General features: G+C 38.6%; 1 annotated feature.

Moving 5' to 3' along the window:
• Positions 17,359-18,188: an enhancer, noted in NCBI's record as "OCT4-NANOG hESC enhancer chr8:35913168-35913997 (GRCh37/hg19 assembly coordinates)". NCBI's record gives its function as "activates a minimal SCP1, AML or CMV promoter by ChIP-STARR-seq in naive H9 embryonic stem cells {active_cell/tissue: H9 hESC(naive)}" and the evidence as "EXISTENCE:reporter gene assay evidence [ECO:0000049][PMID:30033119]".

Raw genomic sequence — 27,069 nt, forward strand, 5'->3', positions numbered from 1 at the left:
GTGCTCTGGAAGCCCAATGAAAAAACTACTTCAAGGAAAAAAAGACATTATGTCCAATGTTACTGAAAGGTTAAGTTGAGACTTGAGAATGTTTCATTATATTTGGTTATGTTGAGCTTATTGGTAGCTGAAAGACTTGGCAAGTTCTGATTACATAAATGTAGTCATCATTTTCCTATGGCATATCTGCCTGGGGATAAAATATGGTTCTGTTAATAATTTCAATAATAAAAGTCTCAGGCTTCTGGTGGTTTAAAAATCTGATGACCAATGTTTTGGTACACTCACCTTCAGAAGGGGGAGATTAATATTTTTCCTTTTGAGTGGGAGCTGGCCTTCATAACTTTCTCCTGTCACGTGACCAAAGTGAAAGCATGTGAAGTCCAATGGGACATAAAAAAAATTGTAGCTTTCTCCTGGACTTGACTGCAATCTCATGAGAAAGACATCAGAACTATCTAGATAAGCCACTCCCAAATTTATGACCCACAGAAACAGAGAATAAATCTTTATTGTTTTGAGACACCCAGTTTTGGGATAACTTGTTATTGTAGAAATAGATAACTAATACAGATTTGGGTGCCTGGAAGTGGGGTGCTGTCATAGCACATATCTAAAAATGTGGATTAACTTTGAGACTAACTAATGTGCAGGAGCTAGAAAGAATTTGAGAAGAGTGAAAGCTAATGTACCCTGACCAGGCTATTAGTAGAAGTCCGGACTTTTGAGAAGACTGTCAACAAGTCTCCAAGGAAAGTGAGAAATTTCTTCTTGGAAACTGGAGGAAAGGGGCCCTTGTTATACGGTGGCAGACACATTAGCAATATTGACACCTGCAATAATATGGAACGTATAAAATGTATCTAATAAACTAAATGGACTAGCTAAGGACATTTCTACACAGAATGTTGATTTTGCTGCTTAATTTCTTCTTTCTGCTTATAGTAAAATTTGAGAGGAGAGAGATGTTATAGAAAGTCCACTAAGTAAAAAGAAGCCAATGTCTCTGGTTTTAAAAATTCTTAGCCTCTAAAGGAGGCAAAAGATGTTAAAATTAGGAAACAGCTTCAGGGAAAATATCAAATCAAGGGCTCCACCAGGTCTAACAATGATGATAAAGGTGCAGCCATAAAATCTCTTATTAAGACATCAGAAAGATCAATGGAAATGCCTCAGAATGTCATTTTGTCAGGGAAAAAAGGCCTTTAAAAGATTTGAATGTCTCAGAACTCCCCTCAATCAAACATTATGGCTTCTAAGAAGCTTAAATATACTGTCCTTCAGCAAAAGTCTTAGATAGAGAAGGGCTTATCTTGTTTTGTAGATGTAGCTTTCTCTAATGAATTGGAGCCTAATAATATTCACAGGAGACCCACATGTTTTTAAAAGAATTTTATCAGCAGAAACACTGCCAGCTTGAACAGAAGGGGGTAGAAACAGCACTAAATAAATGGACTCCCCAAATTCTACTGACAGGAAGTAGGCTCAGAAAACTACTCAGCTACAAACACGATACCTTCCGTGAAAAAGAAAGGAAGACTCAGAAAGCAGAAAGGAGAGTGGAACCAAGAGCCATAGATAATTATTCCCTGTCCTTTTGTATTCCACTCAAGAAACAACTCATCCCAGATTTGATGTCAGAATTGGTATAAACCAGTGACTCCTGTTTATTTTCCATGTTCACTTATTTGAACAGGAGTGCCTACAGCAGTTATCTTGTGCCTATCCCACCACTGAAAATAGAGTATGGGGAGGGAGCGAGAACTTTTCTCTTTAGTTCACTGGTCTTCAGATCAAGAGAAAATACATCTGAGAAGCTTTGTTCACACCTCAATCTCATTTACATAACCACATCTGGGATTTCAAGCTATTAGTGTATTGAGATTCTTGTGGGGGGTGGTATGAATATATTTCGCATGTGGGAGAAATATAAATAAGATGTAGTCAGAGTATGAATAGTGAATTTTCAATATGTCTATGGCTTTCTTTGCTACTGCTCTCTTTAGGAAATAGAGTTTAATACTCCTCCCTTGAATGTGAACTGAACTTTGTGACTCATTTCTAATAAATAGAGTATAGTGGAAGTGACAGGGTGTGACTTCAGAGACGAGAATATAAAAGGCATTGTAGCTTCCTCTTTTTTCTCACTTGGATCATTTGCCTGGGGAAAGCCAATTGCTGTATCATAGGAGCACTCAAGCAGCTCTATGGAGAGGCATAGGATGTAGTGATGACTGAGGCCTCCAGCCAAACACCACTGAGTCTGGAAGCAGATCATCCAGCTCTAGTCAAGGCTTCAGGTGGCTGAAGCCTCAACTGACACTTTATTGCCACTTCATGAGAAACACTGAGCCAGAAACCACTAAAATTCATGATCTGCAGAAACGATGGGATGATAAATGTTTGTTGTTTTACGTTACAAAGTTTTGGGGCAAATTATTGTGCAGCAAGACATAATCAATACAAGGTTCCTCACCCTCCTTAAGAACCACTGGAACCCTAGCCCCTAAATTTTCCTTTCTGGTTTAAGAGACTAGTGGGAGGGGTGTGTGCCTGTGTGGGAGGGGACTGAGGCACAATCCAGGGATCCTGAATAACATTATCCCTCATGCTTCCATCTGGCCTTCCTCTTGTGGTCATGGGAGGCTTCATTCTCTGCCATCATCTGCCACTGGCATAGCGATATTCTTTTATCTTGTGCCAATACTCATCCCGCTGAGCTGGAGAAAGGCTACTCCTCCTCCAGAATGTGCTGCATTCTGTTATTAAAGTCACAGAAGAGAACACTTTTTTTTTTTACATATTTATTTTCCAGCCAGGCCTCTAAGATTGACACCTTTTTATTTGCCTGCTTTAGGTTTAAGCCCCTTCTTTCCTAGGAAGCTGACATACTTAGTTCCCGAAAAGCAAGGCTAGGTGGAGGGCAATCTGAGAGACAACACACCCTGAAGCACTCAGCATCCTCTCTGCTCTCTGCCTGCCAGCCACTGTTCATATCAGGGGTCTGCATATCCCCTCCTTCCATGTAATCCATCTTATCTCCAAGCTTAATGCCTGTATGGTTAAAACAAGGATGGTAAAGATCGTTTTTTAAAGTTTAAGAACTTAAGACATAGATGTTATTTGAGTGATATGATATAAAATATCTTACTACATATTTTCTTCATAGGGTAAAGTTTACCATTGTCATGAAGTTATTTATAATGATATCTAATGTTGTTTCTTGATGTAAAATGTCCTCAAGGGACCAATGGGAAAATAGTCACTCAGGGTTTCATGGATATCTCTGTGATACAACACCAAGCAATATGATCAAAATGACAACCCTTTAATTCTCCTGGGAAAAATGAACAAAAGTGACTTCTTACACAAATGTTGACAAACTTTGGGGCATTTGACTTTGCCATCATTACTGCCAAGGGTTATGCTATGGGTCAAAATTCAGCCACAATCATCTATAGGGGCTGCCCAGGGGTCTGTGAGCCGGCTTGGCATGAGAAGCCTACTCACATGGATGGTCTACACTGCATAAACTTTCTAAGGCAGGATCTCGTTTTACCAGTTAATTGTGAGACACAGTAAGGTAAGAGAATGCTAGAGAAAGGCATAGATTCAGAAACAGAGTCAAAAGAACAGTGGATTATGCAGAAGAACCCTTGGCACCTGCAGAGTAGAAGCAGAGCAGGGAGTAGAGTTAAGGGAAAGATGGACAGTGAGAGCTCTGTGGAGAGATGGGCTTCACCCTGTCTGCAAGTGTCAATTCTCTATGAGGCTTTATGGCACTATGGATGAGACTGATTTCCCATTTTTCTTACTTCTCACATGGCTTTACATTTAAAATTCTATCATTAGAAATAACCTGGGCATTTGGTTATTTTAGATGATGCGAATTGAGCACCAGTCAGCTCTTTCTTAGGGCCACCCATTAGCCTCATTGTGTCCAGTTTGTCTTCCATGTGCCTCCCCAGGTCCTCATAAAAATGACCCCTGGCTGGCCAGTCCTCTACCTCTATATCCAACTAGTAACAGTGAATGCCATTTATTGAGTGGGGCACTGTTTCTACCATATGTCATCCCCAATCCTTACATTGACCCAATAGTTTCCTTACTGAATCAACACATATTTATTTTAGGATTTAGGATCCCCAGTTTTAAAATGAGGAAACTGAAGCTCAAAAAGACCTTGGACTGGCCCAAGGTCACAGAGTTAATAAATGCCAGAGCTGGGATTCAAACTAAGAACTATCTGGCTCCAGTGATCCATCATTAAACCAATACTTTCCAAACCTGGCTCCAGATGAGAGTTGATTCATTCAGCTAGTAAATATTGAACAACCAATAGCAGTCACTGATCTAGGCACTAAGGATTCAGCAGTGAAGAAAACAGATAAAAATCCCTGTCTTCTTGGAGCCTATAACCTAAAAGTTGGAGAAAACAAATAAAATTGTTAGCTGAGGGCCCTAAAAACAAAGATTTCTAGGTGTTAGTCCCAAAGATAGTGCTTTTGCAGGTCAGGTGGTTGGGCTATGAAAACTACATTTTTAACAAGAATTCCAGCTGACATTTTGATACTTAGTCTTGGTTTGACTCTCCTGATCTTAAGAAAGCTGATACCTGAAAATGTTTAAATTCATTGTGGGTATGCCATTTAGGTCCTAGTATACTTGAATGCTCCTTACATAGTGTTTTCTTTAAATTAAATTTCAAGAGAAATAGTAAGATTCTCTTAAAATTACAGATTAACCCTGGGTAAGGCAATGCATACTGATCATTTATAGGGATCCTGCACAAGCACACATTTCTTTTTTTAATATTTTATATTTTTTTATTTTATTATTATTATACTTTAAGTTTTAGGGTACATGTGCACAATGTGCAGGTTAGTTACATATGTATACATGTGCCATGCTGGTGTGCTGCATCCATTAACACGTCATTTACATTAGGTATATCTCCTAATGCTATCCCTCCCCCCTCCCCCCACCCCACAACAGTCCCCAGAGTGTGATGTTCCCCTTCCTGTGTCCATGTGTTCTCATTGTTCAATTCCCACCTATGAGTGAGAACATGTGGTGTTTGGTTTTTTGTCCTTGTGATAGTTTACTGAGAATGATGATTTCCAATTTCATCCATGTCCCTACAAAGGACATGAACTCATCATTTTTTATGGCTGCATAATATTCCATGGTGTATATGTGCCACATTTTCTTAATCTAGTCTATCATTGTTGGACATTTGGGTTGGTTCCAAGTCTTTGCTATTGTGAATAGTGTCGCAATAAACATATGTGTGCATGTGTCTTTATAGCAGCATGATTTATAGTCTTTTGGGTATATACCCAGTAATGGGATGGCTGGGTCAAATGGTATTTCTAGTTCTAGATCCCTGAGGAATCACCACACTGACTTCCACCATGGTTGAACTAGTTTACAGTCCCACCAACAGTGCAAAAGTGTTCCTATTTCTCTACATCCTCTCCAGCACCTGTTGTTTCCTGACTTTTTAATGATCGACATTCTAACTGGTGTGAGATGGTATCTCATTGTGGTTTTGATTTGCATTTCTCTGATGGACAAGCACACATTTCTAAACATCAGATTAGTATTGGAGAGAGACTTAAAAGAGCCTTATACACTTACTAGCAAGAAAAGCACTAATTTTAAAGGAATAATCACAAGGTTTTCATAAAGGGATCTCTACTGGCTTGTTATCACTTTGAAATTTTGACTTTATAGGCACAATACATAAGAAGAAATAATGAGATTTGGAGGCCTGATCTTGGAAACACTAAATTTTTAGGTAGGGCATGGGGTGAGAGAAGACGGGCTTGAATCTAGCGATGAGGGTGGAAGGCAAGGAGTGGGGACAAGGGAGGTGAGAAGGACAAGTCGGAACATCTGTGAGAGGCCATTGGGTGCTGATACATGCTTTGACTTACTATGGGAAGTGATATGAAGTTATTTCATCCCAAACTGGGAAGGAGGAATCAGGCAATTAGAGCACATGGCTGCTCTGGGAAGAGGAATAGCAACTATCAAGTTAATTCATTTGCTCAGGGAATAAAGGACCCTGGTGAGTCACTGGTTCTAAGGAGGGTTTGCTTTGTTGTAAACAGGTAATTTCAAGGTCCAGAGCTGAAGACATGAGCCTTTGGGAGTAACCCTACTCTTCCTCTGATATTGTTCCCTGCATTTCCTGGATCTCCAGCCTTCTCTGATATTAGGTTGGTAAAAAAGCAATTGTGGTTTTTGCCATTGTAGAAGGTGTCATAGAAATGTGCTTGGCCTGTTCTAAGTGTGACCTGTCTTTGAAGTGCAACAGTGGGATGCTCAAATTGGGCCAGTGCCGTAGAAAAAATATTCTCAAACCCTGATACTAAAAGACTGCATTTGCCATTGTTTTTCTCTCCTTCAGCCAGGACTTAGAGTATATGTTGAATAACAACTATGCAAGAAATTACCAGCATGAGTCAGCCTTATTACAGATGAACAGTTCATCGCTAATGTATTTAACTGAAGTTCTTCTTGTTCTAATGAATTAACTGCACTTAAATGGCCTGCAGCTGAGAACTTGTTTGGGGAAAATGGCTTGGCTGCAAATCCCATCTGTAATCACCCCTCTAAAACAGTTAATACTTGTGCAATATTTAAATCAGGGATACTTTCCAATTCCATTATCAGAACATCTTAAAGGAATGTAAACAATTTGTGATTTTTTTTTTAATATGGCAATACACAATGCATGCAGATGACCATTAGGGATTAATAAAAATAAATGTAAAAGGCCTCTGTGATTGGGATCTCTTTTCCCCTTTAGACTGCAACTGCAGTATTTCTGTGCAGCCTAATTACTTTGCCTGAGAAAATTCCAGCTGATTACTCTATCTACAAGGCACAAAATCACATTGTAGATCAGCTCTAAATCTTGTGAAGTCAAACAACTGTTATTTGATTTATCCACAGTTTGGAGAAAAGAGATACACATGTCTAAAGTGATTCTTTGGAGTTAATATCAGAAGTGCCAGAAGATCATCTAATGTGCAGTTCATCATGTAGTGATTTGAACAGCATTTGGGAGCCTCATGTCACTTCATTGAAGGAACACCTATAAATAAACACTGCTTAAAGTGTTTTGCCTATGAGCTAACAATGTCAGTGATGTCTACAGAGAGCTAAACCACTTTAAGAATCCACAGCAACTTCTTTTGGTCGCTGAACACAGATTACAGTTCTTTCTTGTCATATCCTATTTTTAAGAGGGCGCAGCCAGGCTACACTGACCTTGAGCACAAAAAGACTCACTTTCAATGATTCTGGGGTTTTAATAAGATGCAGAAACATAGATGCTATTCAAACTTGGCCAAGATCTTAACACGACATTGTACCAGTTTTAACTTCAGTTAAAAAAAAAAAAAGAGTCTGAAGATTGGATGGAGTCCAGAGAGGAAAACAAGAGTGATAAGTAAAGGGTAGGAAAAGTAATTGTTCCTAGAAAAATATAAAAGGATTGGGACTTTTTATTCTGAGGAAGATGGGAGCTGGAAAGTTCTTTAAAAATCATCTTCTTTTCCATGACAAAGTATTATAAAGCTAGATTGAAAAGTTGTATATAGAGGTAGTGCATTATATATACAAATACATATAATCTAACATATAAAATTAGATAATATATAGCATATGTTAATATATAGATATTAACATATTTATGTATATATATATTTTAGAGAGCACAAGGAAGATGTATTTTCTGGTTTGAAGTTTTTCATATGCAAAAAAAAGCCACTGAGGGTGATAATGATTCCCTTTTCCCCTTATTGTTCTTTAAAAATCAGTGGTTTCAGAATCAGGACTGACAATCACTGGGTTATCTCCACAATTAACTTTTGGTCTTATTTCAGTCTTGGTGCAATTTCCCCTAGACATTTACTCCTGTCTCCTACCAGAGGCTTACTGACTGTGATAATTTTTTTTTTCTAATCCTGTCTGTGGAAGTATATATATTTTTTCTTCAGATTTTTCATCTACTTAATATATTAGGTGTAAAATACTTGATGTAGCTTTATGAAGCATGTTGCTGTGAAATTCTGCATATCTACACTTGTTCAGTCAAACCATACATTTGGGAACACCATTCTCCTTCATTTTACCTACTGCAAACTAGCAAAAGGAATATCTTTAACTTGCTGGTCCACTGAGTTTCCTTTCTGACTTCTCTTGCCATGGAGATAGATACACAGGCTGTAAAAGTATTAGTGATTAATTCTGCCTATGCTACATAATTGAATTCTCACCTAGGTAAAGGTCTTTTGACAACACCATTATATAATGTAATTAGTCAAATAGCTTTTATAAACTGGGAAGGGAAGAGATTAATTTCTCTTTGAATGAAATATGTGTCGAGATCATTATGAATAAAGGGCATCTATCTATCTATCTATCTGCCTGTCTGGGGAAGATATGTATATTTGTTGAATTAATGAACTGTTTTGAAAATAGTGTTTTTGAAACACAAATTACCCTCAAATCACATATACTGGTAGAAGTTCATTTTGGCTATTATGCTGATTTCTGCCTTTTCTCAGAGGGTCACCAGAGTGTTTTGAGTTCAATAAAGACATTTGTTTTTCATCTTGAATGGGTAATCAACTCCACCTTCGCTCTTCCCATAACCATGAGGCAAAATAGTCAAGGATATTTGCCTACCAATGAAAAATCACTCAATAGCAGTAGCTCAAGTATGATTCCATAAATAATAAATCAAAGGCTCCCACTATATCAACCCCTTTTGTACCCTATTGAATCATTGCACACTTTAAACTCTTCTGTGGTGTGTTTAACAAATCTTTAATCATGTCCCAAAGTATTACTCATAATTTAGTCTGAAACACTTAGCAGTTTCATAAAGTTTTGCATTCTGACTCCAAAGAGAACTCTGAGAACAAAACTGAAATGTAAAATGTGTTTTCTGTAAGTGGAAGCGATATGTATTCATAGATTACTAAACGTTTTTATACTTCTTTCCATTTAATAGTTAAGGCTTTCTTCCCTGCTCTTGGCTATTAATTTTTGTGGTAGCCAACAGATACTAAGCCCCTTCCTGCTCACTTATAATGAAGTCTATAGATAAGAAAGAAGAAAATAGAAGATACTTGTATATGGACCTATCTGGTGTCCTCGAGTGTTTGAGTGTTCCCGTTAATAACTTTGTAGGTGTAGAATTCAGACTATTAAGAACATGGCACTGCCATGACTGGCTGGCTATGCAAGCTCTCCCATAGTAGTTGCAAAGACAACTATTCTAGGAAGTAGGGTAAATATCACTAGCCATCAAGAAATCATGTGTGTCTATTAAAGCAGCTGCTCAGTTGATTATCTCTTCTCTTTCCTTTATCTCTGTTTCCCTTGCTCCCAACTTCTATTCCATTCTCAGTCTTAGCAATTCAGCAAACTTCACATCTTCTTTTACCTCTCTCCTAGCCCAGCATCCTTTCCTAAGGTGTTGATTGTCAGCAGATCCAGCCCCTCAGACTGGAAGCACTTGTTCCTTTTGTTTCTGCTCCATGCAGACAAGTTGACTAAAGAGAAGTAGGAGTGATGAGAATTATGACTGAGATCTGTCCCATTGTTCTATATCCATCTACTGCACAGCTTGCTTCTCATGCTTTAATCTACATTCTTAATTTAGAAACCATCTCATATTTGTGTCTGTGAATAAAAGTTGAAGGCAAAAATTTTTTTTGAAAACATTTTTAAAAGAATGATAAATAAGATTTCTGAAAACACTTTAGTCTTTAACATCAGGTGGTATATTTAATGTAGTCTATTAGTGCTCCCTTGCTACATAAAAATTTACATTACTATCTCACAGTTTCCATGGGTCAGGAGTCTGGGTGTGGCTCAGTTGGGTCCTCTGCTCAGGATCTCACAAATCTGCAATCAAGGTGTCAGCCAGGGATGGGGTCTTATTGTGGTCTGGGGGTGCTCTTCCAAGCTCATGTGGTTGTAGGAGTGGAGCTCTCAGCTCCTATGCCACCCCATAGGAGTTTTGAAGATTTCCAAATCTCTTGGAAATTTTCAACATGGCTGTTGCTTTCTTAAGGCCAGCAGGATAGTATTTCTTTGACTTTCTTCCATCTCTGACCTTGATACCCTTTTAGTGGCTCACCAGACAAGGTCAAGCTTACCCAGAATAATCTCCTTATTGATTAACTTAAAGTTAACTGATTAGGGGCCTTGATTACATCTGCTAAATCTCTCATCTATGTCATGAAATATAACATAATCATTGGAATATGTCTTTTTTGTATATCCTATTGGTAAGAAGCAAGTTACTGATACTATCCACATTCAAAGGATGGGTAATTCTACAAAGGTGTGGACCACAGGGGGTCATTTGAGAATTCTGCCAACCACAGGGAGGAATCAAGAGGTTCAATAATTTTCCTATTTTTTCCCTGCCATCCTTGCAACAATTGCCCCTTCCCAAAGCACACATAACAATTATTTCTACCCTCCACATCATCAAGAATGACTTCAATATCCATTTCCACAAAGACTTCAACATATTATCTTCACATTTCTTTTATTTATCCAACTCTAAAGACTTCCCTTGAATATCAGTCAAGCTGCACCCTTTCCTTGTCTTAATCCTCATCATCAACTGTACCAAATCAGAAATGTTAAATGCAAATATCCCACTTTCTAACCTCAAACTCTTATCCATCATGTTCTTCATGTCCTCACTCCAACCACACAGTCAGTACAGACTAAATACAGGGAGTCAAGGGACCTATGACTTCTCCATTGTCTTCCAGATTCTCAGCCACCTCTTGGCTCTCTCACTTTCCTAACCAGCCTAGACCACCTAGTTCATTACTTCAGTCACTCTCTCATCAACATTCTCAATTACCTTGAGAACCCCAGAATTTCCACTGTACCTCTAAGGCTGCAAAGCATTGGTGGAGAAATCAACTAAATGTATCCCTTAGAGTCATTACAAACTAATTATAGGCAAGCCTCTTGATTACCTGAAAGTTTTAACTTCTATTTGTTCTCTCTCCTACTCCCCTCATGGATGCTGTATCTTTGGCATTCTATTCAAATCTCCTACCCAACTCCCATATCCTTTAATTTAAGCAAACATCCTCTTTTGAGGATGACCGCCATGTCCTCTAAGGTCATTAATTATCCTCTTTATCTTCAATACAGTCAATCTTCCTTCCCTTCTTAATCTTTACCTTCTTCCTATGAATATTTTATCTGCTACATAAGAATGCAACACCTCATGCCCCATCCTGATCTATTACCATAGCTCTCCTTCAAATCCTCATTAGCACCCACTGAGTTTGAGGAAATTAACTCCTCACTGGTCTCCAGTATTTGCCACTGCTAGAACACTGCATATAAACTGAAAATATCACTTTGTTGCCACCTAAAGATCTGTAATAATTCTCCTTTGCTTATAAAACAAAAAGTACATGATAGCATATAGGGCCCTCCAAATACATCTCTTCTAATACTCTACCTGTCCTATACTCTCACTTTATATGCTAATGTTAGTGAACCTCACCCTCCAGCTTTAATTCTGTGGGAGTTTGCAGTATTTGTGCAAAATATTTATGGCTCATACTTGTGAAAGGAAAATACTTCCCTAATTCATTATGTTAGCTTGGCTATATGACTTTAGCCAATAAAATGTGGGTGAAAGTGTCTGTTGACATGTCAAAGAATTAAGTGCCACTGAATCATTTAACCATTTTGTTTTTCCCCCTTGTTGTGAGGCTGGGTGTCCCAAATTAGAGGCTGCTCTTTCAGTTTGGGTCCCAAAATAAAGAGGATGTGGAGCAGCCAACAAACAAACAACATTGATGTAAGAAATACACTTTTGTTGTTGTAAGCCATTAAAGATTGAGGGTTATTGTAGTACAGTCTAGCAAAATCTAATACAAAAATTGATGCTTCCATGACAAAACCTAAAATATGTGGCTTTGGATTCTGGGTCATGTGTGGGTGTTGCCTAACTGAGGAAATGTGTTTTGTCACTATACTCCCAGACTCCACTCTGTAAAATGGTCACCCATAATAACTCAGAAGTCCGAAGTAATGTATCTAATGAATGTGTGGCTTTAGGAAAATAAAGAGGGAAAAAGACTGTTGGTAACATGGGTGTTATTGGCTACATTTGTCAAAGTACCATAAAAAAAAGATGAGCTCAGAAAAGAACCAGCTGATTTGCACAGAGTTAAAAGGAATATAGAAAATCCAGAAATTATGTTATGTGCAGAGTTTGAAGATACATTTGATTGTCATTTTCAACTAGAGAGATACAAATTTAGGTTGGTGAAAGCCAAGGACCAATCAAAATTCAGCCTGATGATATGGTCTGAATGAAGGGTGTGGCAAACAATGTTCCTGCTACAATTTCTAAATTGATTTGGAGAATGCAGTTAATCTTGGGCCCCAAAACTTTTAAAAAAGGAAGCAGGTATAGAATGCCGTTGAGTCTTTAAGAAGGGCACATTCTCCAGTGCCATCTTCTGATGTAGCCAATGATGATAAAAGAAAGAGAATGGGCCTCCCAAAGAGTGGAGCCAAAGGTCACAGAGGATGATGAACTGGAGAGCAACTCCTAGGCTGTAGAACTCGGGCCCCATCAAGAAACCTTTAGTTCTCCAGCATAGGGACCTATTGTAACATCTGCCTCATGAATTTTTTGAATGCTATTGACAGTGGCTGATGAATGTCTCCTGTTTTCTTCTCTCCAAATGGGAGAGCATAATCTTCCTGTTCCACTATTACATACGGGATATATGAGGAAATACAATTTATCTTTTTAGTTCACAGGTCACTAGATTGAGAAGAGTCACGTCCAGATTCGATACAAAAATTACCAAGAGATCCTAGATTTTGAGCCTGGATGAGACTTCTGGGAGAGGGAGCAGACTTAGCACGCACAATGGAGAGATATGAATATTTGTGACCTAGACACCTGTACTTTATTTGTTTGAAATATTTGCTGTTACTGCTTATAGGATGCCTATACTTCCTTGCCTCATTGAAATCAGGCTTGGACATATGACTGTTTTTGGTGAACAAGATATGAGAGGAAATGAATTCCTGAGCAGCTTTAGGGAGCCACTGTGTCATTTGGCTATTTTCTCTTTACCTCTCCCTTGAGGCAAGTATGTCTTAGGTGGGTACTGCTTTTTCAGCCTGGGGCTCACAATGAAGAAGATTGGAAGGAGATACAGCCAAAATGCGATAGACATTAATGTAAGCAAAACAAACAAACAGAAAACAAATCTATGTTGAGATTCTGGAATTTGCTCCAGGGTAATCTAGCGAAAGCTGATTTATACACCCTCTTTGCATCTTGGCTTTGATGCTTTCTTTGTCTGCAACTGCATTCCTATTATTCTTTGTCTATTTCACACATATTGTCTAAGACTTAACTCATTTAGAAAGTTTTCTTTGAACTCCCAGACAAGGATAAAAGCCTCTCAAGCCTCCCAGGGCACCTATGTATGCTTTTCCATTTAAACCTACCATATGATTTGAAAACCATTAGTTATGGAAAGTCAGAAAACGTGGTCTTAATCTTTATAGTACTACTTCAAAATGGCACAGTGTCTATGATGGCTTTGTGATGTGTCAACCTGTCTAGGCTGAACTGCATTTTCCAGAATTTTCTTTCTTGTATATTTCCTGTTAGGGTGGGCAACAAGGAGATCCTTGGAAAGTTTGGAAGGTGGAAGGGAGGCAGCTGCCATTTTGTGGCTCATAAATGTGGCTCAACTGCTGACTCACCTCTAGCATGAAGCAGAGCTGGGCCTGCAATTGTTCTGCCTTCCTCTGGTCCTCCTTCAATTTCTTTGTTTCTTAGGTCAGGTGTGTGGCAGGAGGGCAGTGGTGGGGAGAATATTTAGTACTGCCATGAAGGGTCCCAGCTTCTGTGAGATACTGTCATTACCAAAGTCAGAGATCACAAAAACAGATAAGGTTTCATTTTGTTCTTAAGGAGTTCTGTTGCCAAAATATCAGGTGTTTGGTTTAAGTCTCATTGCTCGCTGCACAGAAAGCCAGTCACTGAGACAGTAAGTATTGCCAGAGAAGAAGGCTTTTTTGGCTACTACAGCCAAGGAGATGCAAGGTCATTCTCAAATCTATCTCCTCAACTGGCTAAATTTAGGGGTTAATATAGCAGGGAAAAACTATAACTACATATGGGCAAATGGTAATTAGGTAGGGCTATGGAAGAGGAGTTGGTCAGCAGCAGGCATCAGGTGGTCAGTTATGCAATCATGCCAGGTGAGAGGTCTGGAGTATCACTACTCTCTGGGAGACCTGATAGTTGGTTTCCTGACAAAGGAGCTCAGATAAGACAAATTTAAGTTGCTCAAGTTTTAAGACTGGAAAGGTCAATTTCTATGTTTGTTCAAAAGAGACTATAAACATCAGTTCCATGGGACAGTTGGGCTGGTTTCAGTTCCAGCCTGCTTGTGATCTTCCTTTCCTGAATGTCTGTCCTATGAATCCCAAGCTCTTGAATCAGACTCAGAGACAAGGTTCCTATAGAGATTTGATTTAATAGGCTTCCCAAATTATTTTGTAAGCCAATTCCATGTAACAAATACATACATATGGTGTGTGTATATGTGTTTATAAATATGCACACATACATATAATGGCCTGGGGTGGTTTGGGAAGTATGTAACACTCAAAATCAAAAAACTGAAAACAAAGGGAAGGAGTAAAACAACATGAATCTGTAGTTGTAAAGCTTTCTGAGAGGAAGCCCAAATAGGGCTCTGTTAAATGGGATAAAGATGTTGGCCTTTCTTTTAAGGCCAATAGGAAGGCACCAAAGTATTTGAAGCAGGAGGTCAATATGATCATAGTTGTTTTTAGAAAACGTGACTCTGCTGCAAAATGGAGAACTGATTGAGTACTAAGCACACATTACACAGGTAGAAGAGTTAGGTGGCTCTGGGGTCATCCAGTCAAGGGATAAGAGTAGTTTAAGCCAAGTTATTGATAGTGGAGATAGAGAGTGTTAGATATTTAAGAGATAATTAGTAAGTATAGTTGGTAGGATTCAGTGATGGTTTACATATAAAGGATAGAGGAAAAGAAATTCTCAAGGAAGGCTTTTGGCTTTTAGGTTATGTAACAGGATGAATGGTAGTGTCATTAACTGAGATGACTAAGTATGAGTGAATAATAAAAATGTACAGACTATGATGTGTTTGCATTGCAAATGCATTCAAGTGAAGTTAACAAATAAGTAGCTATGTTCTAGGCACTGTATCAGTCAGGTTTCAACTAGAGAAGCAGAACCAGTAGGAGATACACCTACATAATACATGTTATTCCATCTGTCTGTAATGTCCTCTTGCCCACTCCACATGACTTAATTAATGTCTATTCCTTTTTCAAAAATCAGGCCAGGCTGGGCATGATGGCTAATGCCTGTAATCTCAGCACTTTGGGAGGCTGAGGTGAGAGGATCACTTGAGCCCAGGAGTTCAAGATCAGTCTGGGTAACACAGCAAAACCCCATCTCTACAAAATAATTTTAAAATTAGCCTGGTGTGGTGGCATGTACCTGTGGTCCCAGCTACTTGGGAGGCTGAGGCAGGAAGATCACCTGAGCCTGGGAGTTTGAGGCTGCAGTGAGCCATGAATGTACAACTGCACTCCAGCCTAGGCCACAGAGCAAGACCCTGTCTAAAACAATAACAAAAACAGAAACAAATAATAAATCAGGTCAGTTATTAGTTTTGATTATTAAGCAACATATCAAGCTTTTTAAAAAGTGAGAAGTTCACATTATTGCCCCACCCAAGGTAGGATGGCATTACAAAATTATTCTTTATGACATTTTCTTTGAATTTCCTTAAAGAGTTAATTCCCTTCCTGGATTTCAGTTCAGATTTGCTCATAACTCTCCTAAAATGTAGCCATTGTTTATTATGGCACTGTCATGTAGGAACATTTTGTGGAAGAGATTAGGGAATTGAGCTCAAAGATAAAACCACATAAACAATAATATGCATAATACTTTAACACGAACAAAGTGATTGATTATTAATGTTTTCTTATACTTCTGTAAGCTACTTGAGGGCAAGAACTTTATTTTGTTGTTCATTTTAGTGTTCTGAAAATAACTAGTATCTTGTTTTGCACATGGTAGATGTTCAATAAATGTTTGGTATATTCCATTTGTTTCTGTTATAGCATGTATTACAATCTGTTTTTACCTTTATTTTCTTATTTGCTTTCATGTTTATTTGTGGCCACCCATGAATAGAAGGCAAGTTCCATGAAGAAGTAAGCTTGTCTGCTTTGTTTACTGCTATATCATTAGTTCTTTGGACAGTGTCTGGCACTTAACAGATATTTGTTAAATGAATAAATAACATGTATAAAAATATGTGGGTTGTAATACATGCTACATAAATTTAAAAATACATTTTGGAATATGTACACGTTCAAAGTGAGGAAAAACTGCTAATTTCTTTTCAAATCAGCTTTGTAGGGCCCAAGGGAAAACTTATTCTTTGCCCTCTGAAGGTTTGCTGAAAAATCAACCCACAAAAGGCAGATTAATAGGAGAAAAGGCACACACATTTATTTCATGTGTATACCCAGGAGCCTTCAGAATGAAGACCAAAAGATACAGAGGAAATTGTCCATTTTTATGCTTAGGTTTAATAAAGCATGGGCAGCATGTGGAAATATGATTGGACAAAAAGGTCTTGCTCCAGACAAAATGAGAGTTCCTCCCTTCCCACAACTCCCTATGACAAAGGGGTAAGAACTAATGCAAATAGGCTGAGTAGGGAAATCCACCAAGGCCTGACTGTCTAGATTCTTCTTGGCCAACACTCTGAGCACTTATTCCTTCCTTCTGGATGTGGGGCAGGACCTTCTCTGTAAAGGTGGTCTTATGACCTGTAGTCAAACAAGGAAGGTCAGATCATTTCTTAATGGACAATTCTTACACAGAAAGCCAGAGGGAATGTTAGTGTGATATTTTTATGCTTTATGGCTGGCTTTGGAGGGAAGGGGTTCTGGTTTCTATGATCCAGAAAGAGGGATTCTAGTTTCCATGGCTAGCCTCATGGGAGAATGACTGAGAGACAGGAGGACAGGAGAAGGTCAGGGAGAAACTTTTGCTTCTGAGGCCTTTATTTTAGGGTATTATCTTCTGAGCCACAACAGTTTCTCTTCCAATTAATAATAATTTTTTTAAAAAATCCATGCAAGAGGAGTACAGGACTTGAGAAACCATCATGAGAAAATTCTATAGGCATGACTATTTCTCTCTAGTTTAAAAAATAAATCTAATGCAGCATAAATAAACATGTCATATTGAATGACACAAAGCATTATCCAAAGCACAGGGGGTGTCTTAGAAGGTAAGTTTAGTGATATTGTAATATGATTACATCGTTTTGAAGTTTCATTACTTTTTCATCTGAATGAATATAAAACCTAGAATATTAATACAATGAAGACTGGCAGTTGATGACCCTACAGAGACTGCTCTGAGTTGCTGATAAAACATAGATTGTGGTACCTCCAATCTCAGAGTCATTTGCAGGTGTCTTGTCTGTAATCAGAATTTGCAAGTAATGGAGTATGAGCTCTTCTCTGGCCATTGTTATTCAAAACCATCACCTGCCAGTGTCTACAATCTTAAATGATCTGTCTCATCAATCAAACCTCCCCTTCCTATGGTCACAGTACTCGAGGATCAACAAAGCATGTGAAATCAGCACTTTACGTGCTCCTTGAGAGGGCGCTGCTTCAGGCAAGATGAGAGTCCCTCCTTTCCCACAACTCCCCATGACAATTTACAGCCCATTCTGCATTTGACTTCTTCAAATACCTTCCTTCAGATATAATGAGGTCCCCTGGGGTTGAAAGGTGAAAAGGGATTTTGAGGAATGCCATTTTCTTTTCTGATGCCTTGGTGTCTGAGTGCCATGTGGAAGATTTAATACCAACTCTATTCCTCCGATGCATATGACAATATAATATCCTCTAATTTCATCTGTTATGTCTTTGTACAAGCAGGAAAAATATTCTTTACAGCAGGACTACAAAATTACACACATTACAATTGAATATTCGGTATTAAAATAGGTTTTCCTGCTTGTTAGGCAAAAGAAGAACTGAAAGTTGTTTTCATTTTTATTTGGTACTTTATATACTGTGGGGCTGAAAGAGCTGGATTGGGTAATTTTACAGGTCCTTAAATATACATGGCTCATGGATATTTGATAGGAATATGGTGATGCAAAAGTTCTTTCAAGTAAACAATGGATGACTCCAATCTAAATCATTTTTTAGTGATATTAAGGGGAAAGATAAAGGGTAATTGAATTGCCTTTAAAAAAAAAATCAGCATCTGTTTTGCTTTTTACCACTTTTAGCCATCCAAAGTTGACCACAGTTGTGATCAATCCATATAGTATTCACTGAAGTGAATTTTTTAAGTACATGAAACTACCTGGCTTCATGTCTGTCCAAATGTGACCATTTGTATTGCAAAAATAGGAGCTGCATTATTTGCAGAATGCCGTACACTCCATGTCCACTAGTAAATAAAAGCTCAATGCAACTGAAAGTGGCTTTCCATCATTAAAAAATAAAACCATATATTCAGCATCCACCTGACCTTCCACTGGGGTATGACTTATTTACTTTATACCACCTGCTTATAAAGAATTCTTCATTCTCAGTAACCGATAATGGCACAGCCCACCTGATAGATGGCAAGTGGACATATAAGCAAATATGTACTCTTTGTTTTTCTCAAATATGATGCTGCATGTTCATGAGACGTGTCCCTCCTTCCTGTGGGAATAATCTGTGATAACCCATTCTTGCCCACTTTTCCTTGTGGAAAAAAAGGCAGGTGACAGCACTCAAATCTAGATGCTCAAAGCAGAATTTTATCCCACTAAAACTGGCTTTCCTAGATGGGAATGGAGCTTACCATCTTGATCTCACAAAAGGCCCTGAATCAACAAACACAGTTAGAGTAGTGCCCTAACACACCTTTTTCCTTTCATCACCAAGGTGCCTGATATTATTCATCTTATCATACAAAGAGATGATTAACTTGTATCTTTGAATAAAGAATGCATTGCACAACGTGCATGCACACACACACGCATACACACACAATGTGAATAATAATTTAAGGATAGCTGCTTTCTCACTGACTTTGTCACTGGGTTCACTACCAACCTTACAACTACACAGAAACACACAATATACTTGAGAAGAGGGGAAATATTTATTTTCTTGGTCCCAGCAGAGCTTGTGAGTAATAGCATAGGCAGCACTCTACATATATTTCTCTTGGCTTAATATGAGGCATAAGAATAGACTAAGTGACAGAAAGAAATATAAAATGTAACAAATGTTACAAGTTATGAAAACCTTGGTTTTGAGTCTGATGGAGGAGAGTACCAATTAATACTCTCAGAGAAATAGAGGACAATGACTTCACCCATCCTTAGTCCTTTCCCTTATCTTTCTTGGCCATAACTAAAAAGTGACTAAATAGAACAAATTAACAGCTTTCACACTCCAAATCAACAATGCATTATGTTATGTAGTGCACTGTAAATCACTGGAAAATTAATAGGTTTTCTTGTATTCACCATCACCAAACTATATCTATGTCATTATGTAAAACTCTTCCATGTTTTTGCTTGTCCTCAAAACTAAAAGTGTTACTAGAAAGAAAAGGGTCCTATCCAGACCCCAAGAGAGAGGATTCTTGGATCTCACTCAATAATTCAGAGTCCATAGAATGAAATGAAAGCAAGGTTATTAAGAAACTAAAGGAATAAAGAATGGCCACTCCAATAAAGAATGGCCACTCCATAGTATAAATGTACTCCAACTGAGTACATTTATAGTTTTTTTTTATTATAAGCTAAACAAGGTGTGGATTATTCATCAGTTTTCTGGGAAGGGGGTGGGCAGTTCCTAGAACTGAGGGTCCCTCCCCTTTTTCAACCATATAGGGTAACTTGCTGACATTGCTATGGCATTTGTAAATTGTCATGGCTCTGGGGAGAGTGTCTTTTATCATGCTAATGCATTATAATTAGCATATAATGAGAAGTGAGGATGACCAGATGTTACTTTCATGGCCATCTTAGTTTTGGTGGGTTTTGGTGGGCTTATTTACCACATCCTGCTTTATCAGCAGAGTCATTGTGACCTGTATCTTGTGCCAACCTCCTGTCTTGTCCTGTGACTAGGAATGCCTAACCTCCTGGGAATGCAGCCCAGTAGGTCTCAGCTTTATTTACCCAGCCTCTACTCAAGATGGAGTCACTCTGGTTAGAATGCCTCTGACAAGAGTACATCTTTTGTATTGTGTACAAGGTCTTTCTAATTCATGTTCCTACCTGAATCTGCCTCTCTACTGCTGCTGCTTGAAATAAGTACAAAGAATGAGGTTCAGGCCTCAAGTGTTAATGTGTCCTGCTATGACCAGGCCCAGACAAAACAGTAAGGGAAACTCAGCATGTCAACCTAAGTATGTCCTCGGTGAATTCTCTTCTTCCAGAATCCCACTTTAGATATTTTTCCCATCACTGGGTTCACTTGTTCTATAGCAAAGTCCTCACTTTTAGCTGTCAATTTGCTACAATGACAAAGGAATAAAAGAATCATACGCTTTTAGAGCCAGAGAAATTAGAGACAATCAGGGGCCTCATTTTCGGACGAAGTTATTGAAGTTGAGCCAATGACAGTATTAACAGTCAAGATTAGAAAACTATATCTCCTGACTCCATGAACACAGTGGCATCTGTTAACATGCAGTCACATATGACCCAGTGTGACAGCAGGGCTAAATGTCTACTAGTTTAAATGTATCATGAGGATTTAGTATTTTGTTCTATTCCAGACCATAGGTCTGTCTGAGCACATCTGTATTAGTCTTCAGAATATTAAAACATCTCAATTTCTTCTAATAAAGCTTTGAACTGCCCTTCACCTGTGTCATTTATTCAATCAATGTACAACAAAGCCCACTGAAAAGTGTACTAGGTACTGAAAATAAATAGGTACATTGTACACTTCATACTCTGAGATAGATCAGAAGAAACAAGGACAAAAAATGTTAAGAGGTAGGAAATTAAAAGAATCCATATATGACAGAATCTATTTTATTTTTTTAATAAAAAAATATGTGGTCTCATGTTGAGAATGAGGGTGATGGGACATAGTTGGAGGTTTAGAAAAATAGAAGAATCTATTTTTTAATAGAAAATATGTGGTCTTACATTGAGAATGAGGGTGATGGGGTACAGTTGGAAGTTTAAAAAAAATAGAAGAAACTGTTTTGAAGATGAGAAAGAACATCTTAGGCATTAGGGGTGATTTAAAGATGACCCAGCAGAGCAAAGATTCTGCTCTGCTCTCAACTCTGGAACAGAACAAGAGGAAAAGAACATTGTCCTTGCAAAGTTCCATTGATATTGTAAGTCCAAATATGTTGCCAAAGTCCAATATACACTCATGTGACTAAGGAATTGTTTTTAGACCTTGAGAGAGTACACGAAATGTTTAGTCATCAGCTAGCAATTTAGTTCAGGAGAAGATGGGAGAGGAAATAAAATTTAGGGGTTAATTATGAAGCAGAAGAAAAGGTATTCGAGGATCTGTAAATCAACATGAGCTTCAAGGGAAGATTCAGTAGAAATTAAGAAAAGAGTGTGATAGGTAACTGTGGTCTAAGGGAGGTGGATTTTAGAAGTTCAAGATGATGACAAATTATGGCTCTGAGAATGGCTTATTGAGGTAGAGAATGGTGAAATACATTTAGGAAGAATTTTTAAAACTATATAATAGGGTACTAAATAGGCCACAAATGTGACCTGGACATGCATTTAGAACATTAAGAACACAAACAGTGACCTGGAAGTTGGTGAATGTCAGCTAGGAGGATAAGAAGAAAGTACATCTATTATTTATTTATATATCAGGTACTATGCTAATAAGTGGAATATGATAAATGAGAGCTTATAGCTTACATTGCAGTCATAAACAAGTGAATTTTCAAATATCATATTTTAAGATAGTGACAATTACTATAAAACTGAAGCATGGTAATAAAGAATGACTGAATGGGGGTCCCACTGGAAAAGGAACATCTCCTTAAGGAGGTGACATTTGAGCTTAGGCATGAGAAGAAGCTGGCCATGCTGAGATCTGGGGAAAACATTCTACCCAGAGGTAAAACATGTAGAAAATGTCCAAGACAGGAAAAGTTTGATGTATTTAAGAAAGAAGACAGCCAGAATGGCTAAAATGTAATGAATAAAGTCAGAAAAAAAGTGAGGGTCAGATCTCTGGGGCATTATTGTCCATGAGAAGAAATTTAAATGTCATTCTAGGTACAATTGGAAGCCATTAGTAGCTTCCAGTGGATGCAATTAACTTCAAAGTGGCAAGGATTATTAAACAAAAGTGAAAAGTCATAGTCTCAAAATGACAGAGGAGAGCTAACAGAATATTGTACTTTCTGCTTGTTCTATGATATTGAGGGAAAATGGGAAGAGGTGGGGAGACACAGGAGAATTAAGAGTCCATTATATTCCCCTGCAACCTTCTTTGATATAGAGAGTGTTCAGCCATCAGTTAGGTATCATGGCAGTTACTTAGGACAATGAGCCAAACTAAAAGTCACAATGAAACCTAATTCATTTACTGCAAAAGTAGAAACAAGAGCCACCAGCTTCCCAATGTTCCCTTTTTTCCACAGAACAGCACCAGGCAAGAGGTAGGTTGATGCAGCACAGATAAGGAAAATCATCTCACCATAGAGAATCCCCAAACAAAAGGTTTCTGCCATTTTATGGACCCATGGGTTTGGGGAAGAGAAAGATAGAAAGTCTTGGCGTGGTGAATGCTGAGTTAAAGTGAAGAAAAGTGCCTTAGCCCAAGGTCCCCTAGAAAGATCCCTCCAAATGGAGACCCCTGGACTAGGAATGCAGATATTGCACGTGAGCATGTCTGGGTAGGGGAAGGGGGTGGTTGTGTGTGTGGGCAGGGGATGGTGTACTTGACTATAAATCTCTCCAGAAAACTCTAACCCACTGACTGTGCAACAAGTCTGGACTAGGGAGGGCAGCTTCTCTCCATGAGGCTGACAGACAAAGCCTGGTTGGGTCTGAAAAATCACAGATTGTGGCCTGGAGCAGGAATCCTTAAAGATAAACCTACTGTTCAGTTAAGATGGGAAAGTAGGAGAAATATTCTGAGAAAAACCTGAGACAGGAGACCGTTAAGAAAGGAAGGAAACATCTAATAATATGTTGGTATTGAGACTGCCTTTGCAAACATTATGATAGAAGGAGAAATCTGGCATAATTGACTCCACTTTTTTTCTAACCTCACAGGCTAAGCATCTTTGCTCATCCCAAGCCGACTATGGGAAGAATTTAGCTTACAGTTTAATTCTAAAACAAAGACAGTAACAACCCTGCTGTTATTTGGATCTGTGTTCCCACGCAAATCTCATGTTGAATCGTAACCCCCAATGCTAGAGGAGGGGCCTGGTGGAAAGTGACTAGATTATGGGGGCAGAGTTTTCGTGAATGGGGTAGTACCATCTCCCCTTGGTACTGTATAATGAGTAATTTCTCATGAGATGTGGTTGTTTAAAAGTGCGTAGCACCTCTGTCCTCTCTCTCTTCCTCCTGCCCCAGCCACGTGACATGTTGGCTCCCACTTTGCCTTCTGCTTTGATTGTAAGTTCTCTGAGGCCTCCCCAGAAGCCAAGCAGATGCTGCCATGCTTCCAGTACAGCCTGCGGAACCATGAGCCAACTAAACGTGTTTTCTTCATATAAATTACCCAGTCTAGGGAATTCTTTATAGGAGTGCGAGAATGGACTAATACAGGTTCCTTCCTGAACTAACCTCCTTCTTGCTCAAAGACTGAAACTGTCTTTGTAGAATTAAAAAATAAAAAAAGTCACAAGGTTAAAATTGTAATAGGGGCCTAAATTCTGCTAAGATGTAGACATAGTTAAACTCTATCCAGCCATTGTCTCTTCTGCTAGGATGCAGGCATAAACTCTAACCAGTCATTGTTTTATAACTTGCTTTATTAAAACCACTTACTAATCATGAGTCATGTAGCCAATGACCACACAATTTAAAACTTCCCCAACTGCCCCTATGAATAATGTTGCTATTGTAAAACCTAACACTGGTAATCGAGATGGTTTTCAGAGCTTGCATTCTGTATGAACCAACTGATCCCACCTGGAATGGTAAACCCCCTACCTAGAAACTGACTCAGTACAAGAAGACAGCTCTAACACCCTAACTGTTTCATCCCCAACCCAACCAATGACCATTCTCCATTGCCTAGTCCTCTGCCCACCAAACTGTCCTTGAAAAACCTCAGCCTCCAAATTCTTGGAGAGGCTAATTTGAGTAATAAATTCCCACCCTTCCACTTGGCTAGATCTGCATTTCATAAACTCTTTCTCTACGGCAATACCACTGTCTCAGTGAATTGGCTTTCTGTGCAGTGGGTAAGAAGAACTTGTCAGGTGATTACAGTCTGATGGCATTTCTGAGATGTTCCTTTCTTGGGAAGAAATAAGAGTTATTTGCATTAAACTGGTTTACTAGAAATGGGATTTGGACTTTCTGTGACAACCCCAATACTTTTCTCATTTTTGAGAAAAGGTCTCCTTCATCTTTGATTCTCTGGCATTAGCATAGTTTAAAAAAATGCTCAATTCACAATAAATGAAATCAATGAATGAATCAATGACTCTTGGCCTCTGTAAAACTGCTCTACAGACAAGTCTTTAAAGTGATATTATCAGGGTCACAAACTCAAATGCCTTGTAAAGCCAAGCAAGTAAGGTAAATGTGTCACTCAGCCAAGTGTAAGACATGAGGATAAGAAAAGTAGTGAACAGTAATATCCATGATCTGCCTGAAAGTATTCAAGTCCAATGAAAATAACAACAAAAACAATATTGTACAAACAAAAGTAGTTGTACTGATCTTTTCTATCTGGAGGCTGTCTCTGCAGAACTTATTACCCTAAGGTTAATTTCTCAGAATAGCAGAAGATAAGGACTTACTAACAACCCAAAGTACACCAACTTTTCCCTCTATTCAACAATTTCTTATTCATTCAATAAATATATGTTTTTGAGCATCTACTGTAGGCCAAGTACTATTCTAAATGTTGGAGAGACTACCATATACAAAACAGACAGAAATTTCTGCCCTCACAGTAGTTACAATCTAAAGATACAAGACACACAATTAACAAAATAAATAACATAGTACACTAGGTGCTGATAAGAAGGATGGTGAAAAATAAAACACAGAAAGATTGAGAGGGGATGTGAGGGAAGTAATGCAGGAGAGTTTTTCATCTTAAATATAGTGGTCAAAGAAGACCACATGGAGAAGACGCCTCTGGAAGAAAAAGCCCAGAAGTGAGGAAAAGCTATGAGACTGTTCCGGAAAAGGTGTGCCAGTGGAGGGAATGGACAGTGTACAGTGTTTGAAGGCGGGAGAGTGTGTGTCATGTTTGAGCAGTAGGATGAAGTCCAGTGTAATCAAAGCTGACTGTGGAGTGGAGAAGCAAAAGAGCAAGTTAGAGAGCTAGGAGGGGACCAGGCCTTGTGTGGTTTTGTGGGTTGCTGGCAGTACTTTGGCTTTTGGCTCAAGAGAGATGGGAAGCCATGGAGAGTTTTGAGTAGAGGTGATGAGATCTGACCTATGTTTTAAACAGGATTATGCTGGCATAGGATAGCAAATTGATGGGGTCAAGAGTAGTGGCAGACATACTAATAAGAAAGCTGTTAAAATAATCCAAGCAAGAGATGACTAGTTTGGATTGTGGTGGCAATAATAAGAACTCCAGTCATATTGGAGCATATTTTGAGGGTAGAGCTGAGAGGATTTGTTAATAGACTCAATGTGTAGCATAAGAAAAGAAGAGGACTCAAGGACAGTGCTAAACTTTTTAAGATTTTTTTGCTGGGCACGGTGGCTCACGCCTGTAATCCCAGCACTTTGGGAGACCGAGGTGGGCAGATCACAGGGTCAGGAGATCGAGACCATCCTGGCTAACATGGTGAAACCCTGTCTCTACTAAAAATACAAAAAAATAGCTGGGCGTGGTGGCAGGCGCCTGTAGTCCCAGCTACTCAGGAGGCTGAGGCAGGAGAATGACATGAACCTGGGAGGTGGAGCTTGCAGTGAGCCGCATTCACCCCACTGCACTCCAGCTTGGGTGACACAGCGAGACTCCATCTCAAAAAAAAAAAAAAAAAAAAAAAAAAAGAGTTTTTGAGCATTGTTTTTTTTGGCTTTAACCAAGATAAGGATGATCTAGGTGGAGGAAGTTGGGAAGGAAGATAAGATGTTCAGTATAGTACATTTTTAACTTTGAGCATACATATGGCCTTCTGTAACATGACACACCTGTAGTGAGATAGCCAGTTCTATGGAACTTCAGCTAGCATGCAGTAACCAATGCCAAGTGACAATATTAGTTATTGTGTCATATGTCATTATATCTCAAAGATCCATCTACCCATCAATGGTATAACTTAAAGTTTATTCCAACTGCTTCTCTCTGGCTGACTTAAAAGGTTAATTGTTGTCTAACAAATCTGATGTTTATACCTTCATATTTTTTAAGATGTAATTCTTACTAAGAACTTGTAAAGTTCTTACTTTTTTCATAAATGTAAGTATCTTAGTCTCTTTTGTGTGGCTACAATAGAATACTTGAGGCCAGGAAATTTATAAAGAAAATAGACTTACTTAGCTAATGGTTCTGCAGGCTGGAAAGTTCAAAAGCACAGCTCTAACTTCTGGTGAGAGCTTACACTGTGTGTCACAACATGATGGACAAGGTCAAAGGGGGAAGCGTGAGAAAAGAGAACACTCAAGGGGCATCCTGGCTTTATAATAAACCGCTTTGTTTTTTGAGACAGAATTTTGCTCTGTTGCCCAGGTTGGAGCAGTGGTGCAATCTCAGCTC

This window comes from Homo sapiens, chromosome 8 (genome assembly GCF_000001405.40).
Source record: "Homo sapiens chromosome 8, GRCh38.p14 Primary Assembly".
Taxonomy (NCBI): domain Eukaryota; kingdom Metazoa; phylum Chordata; class Mammalia; order Primates; family Hominidae; genus Homo; species Homo sapiens.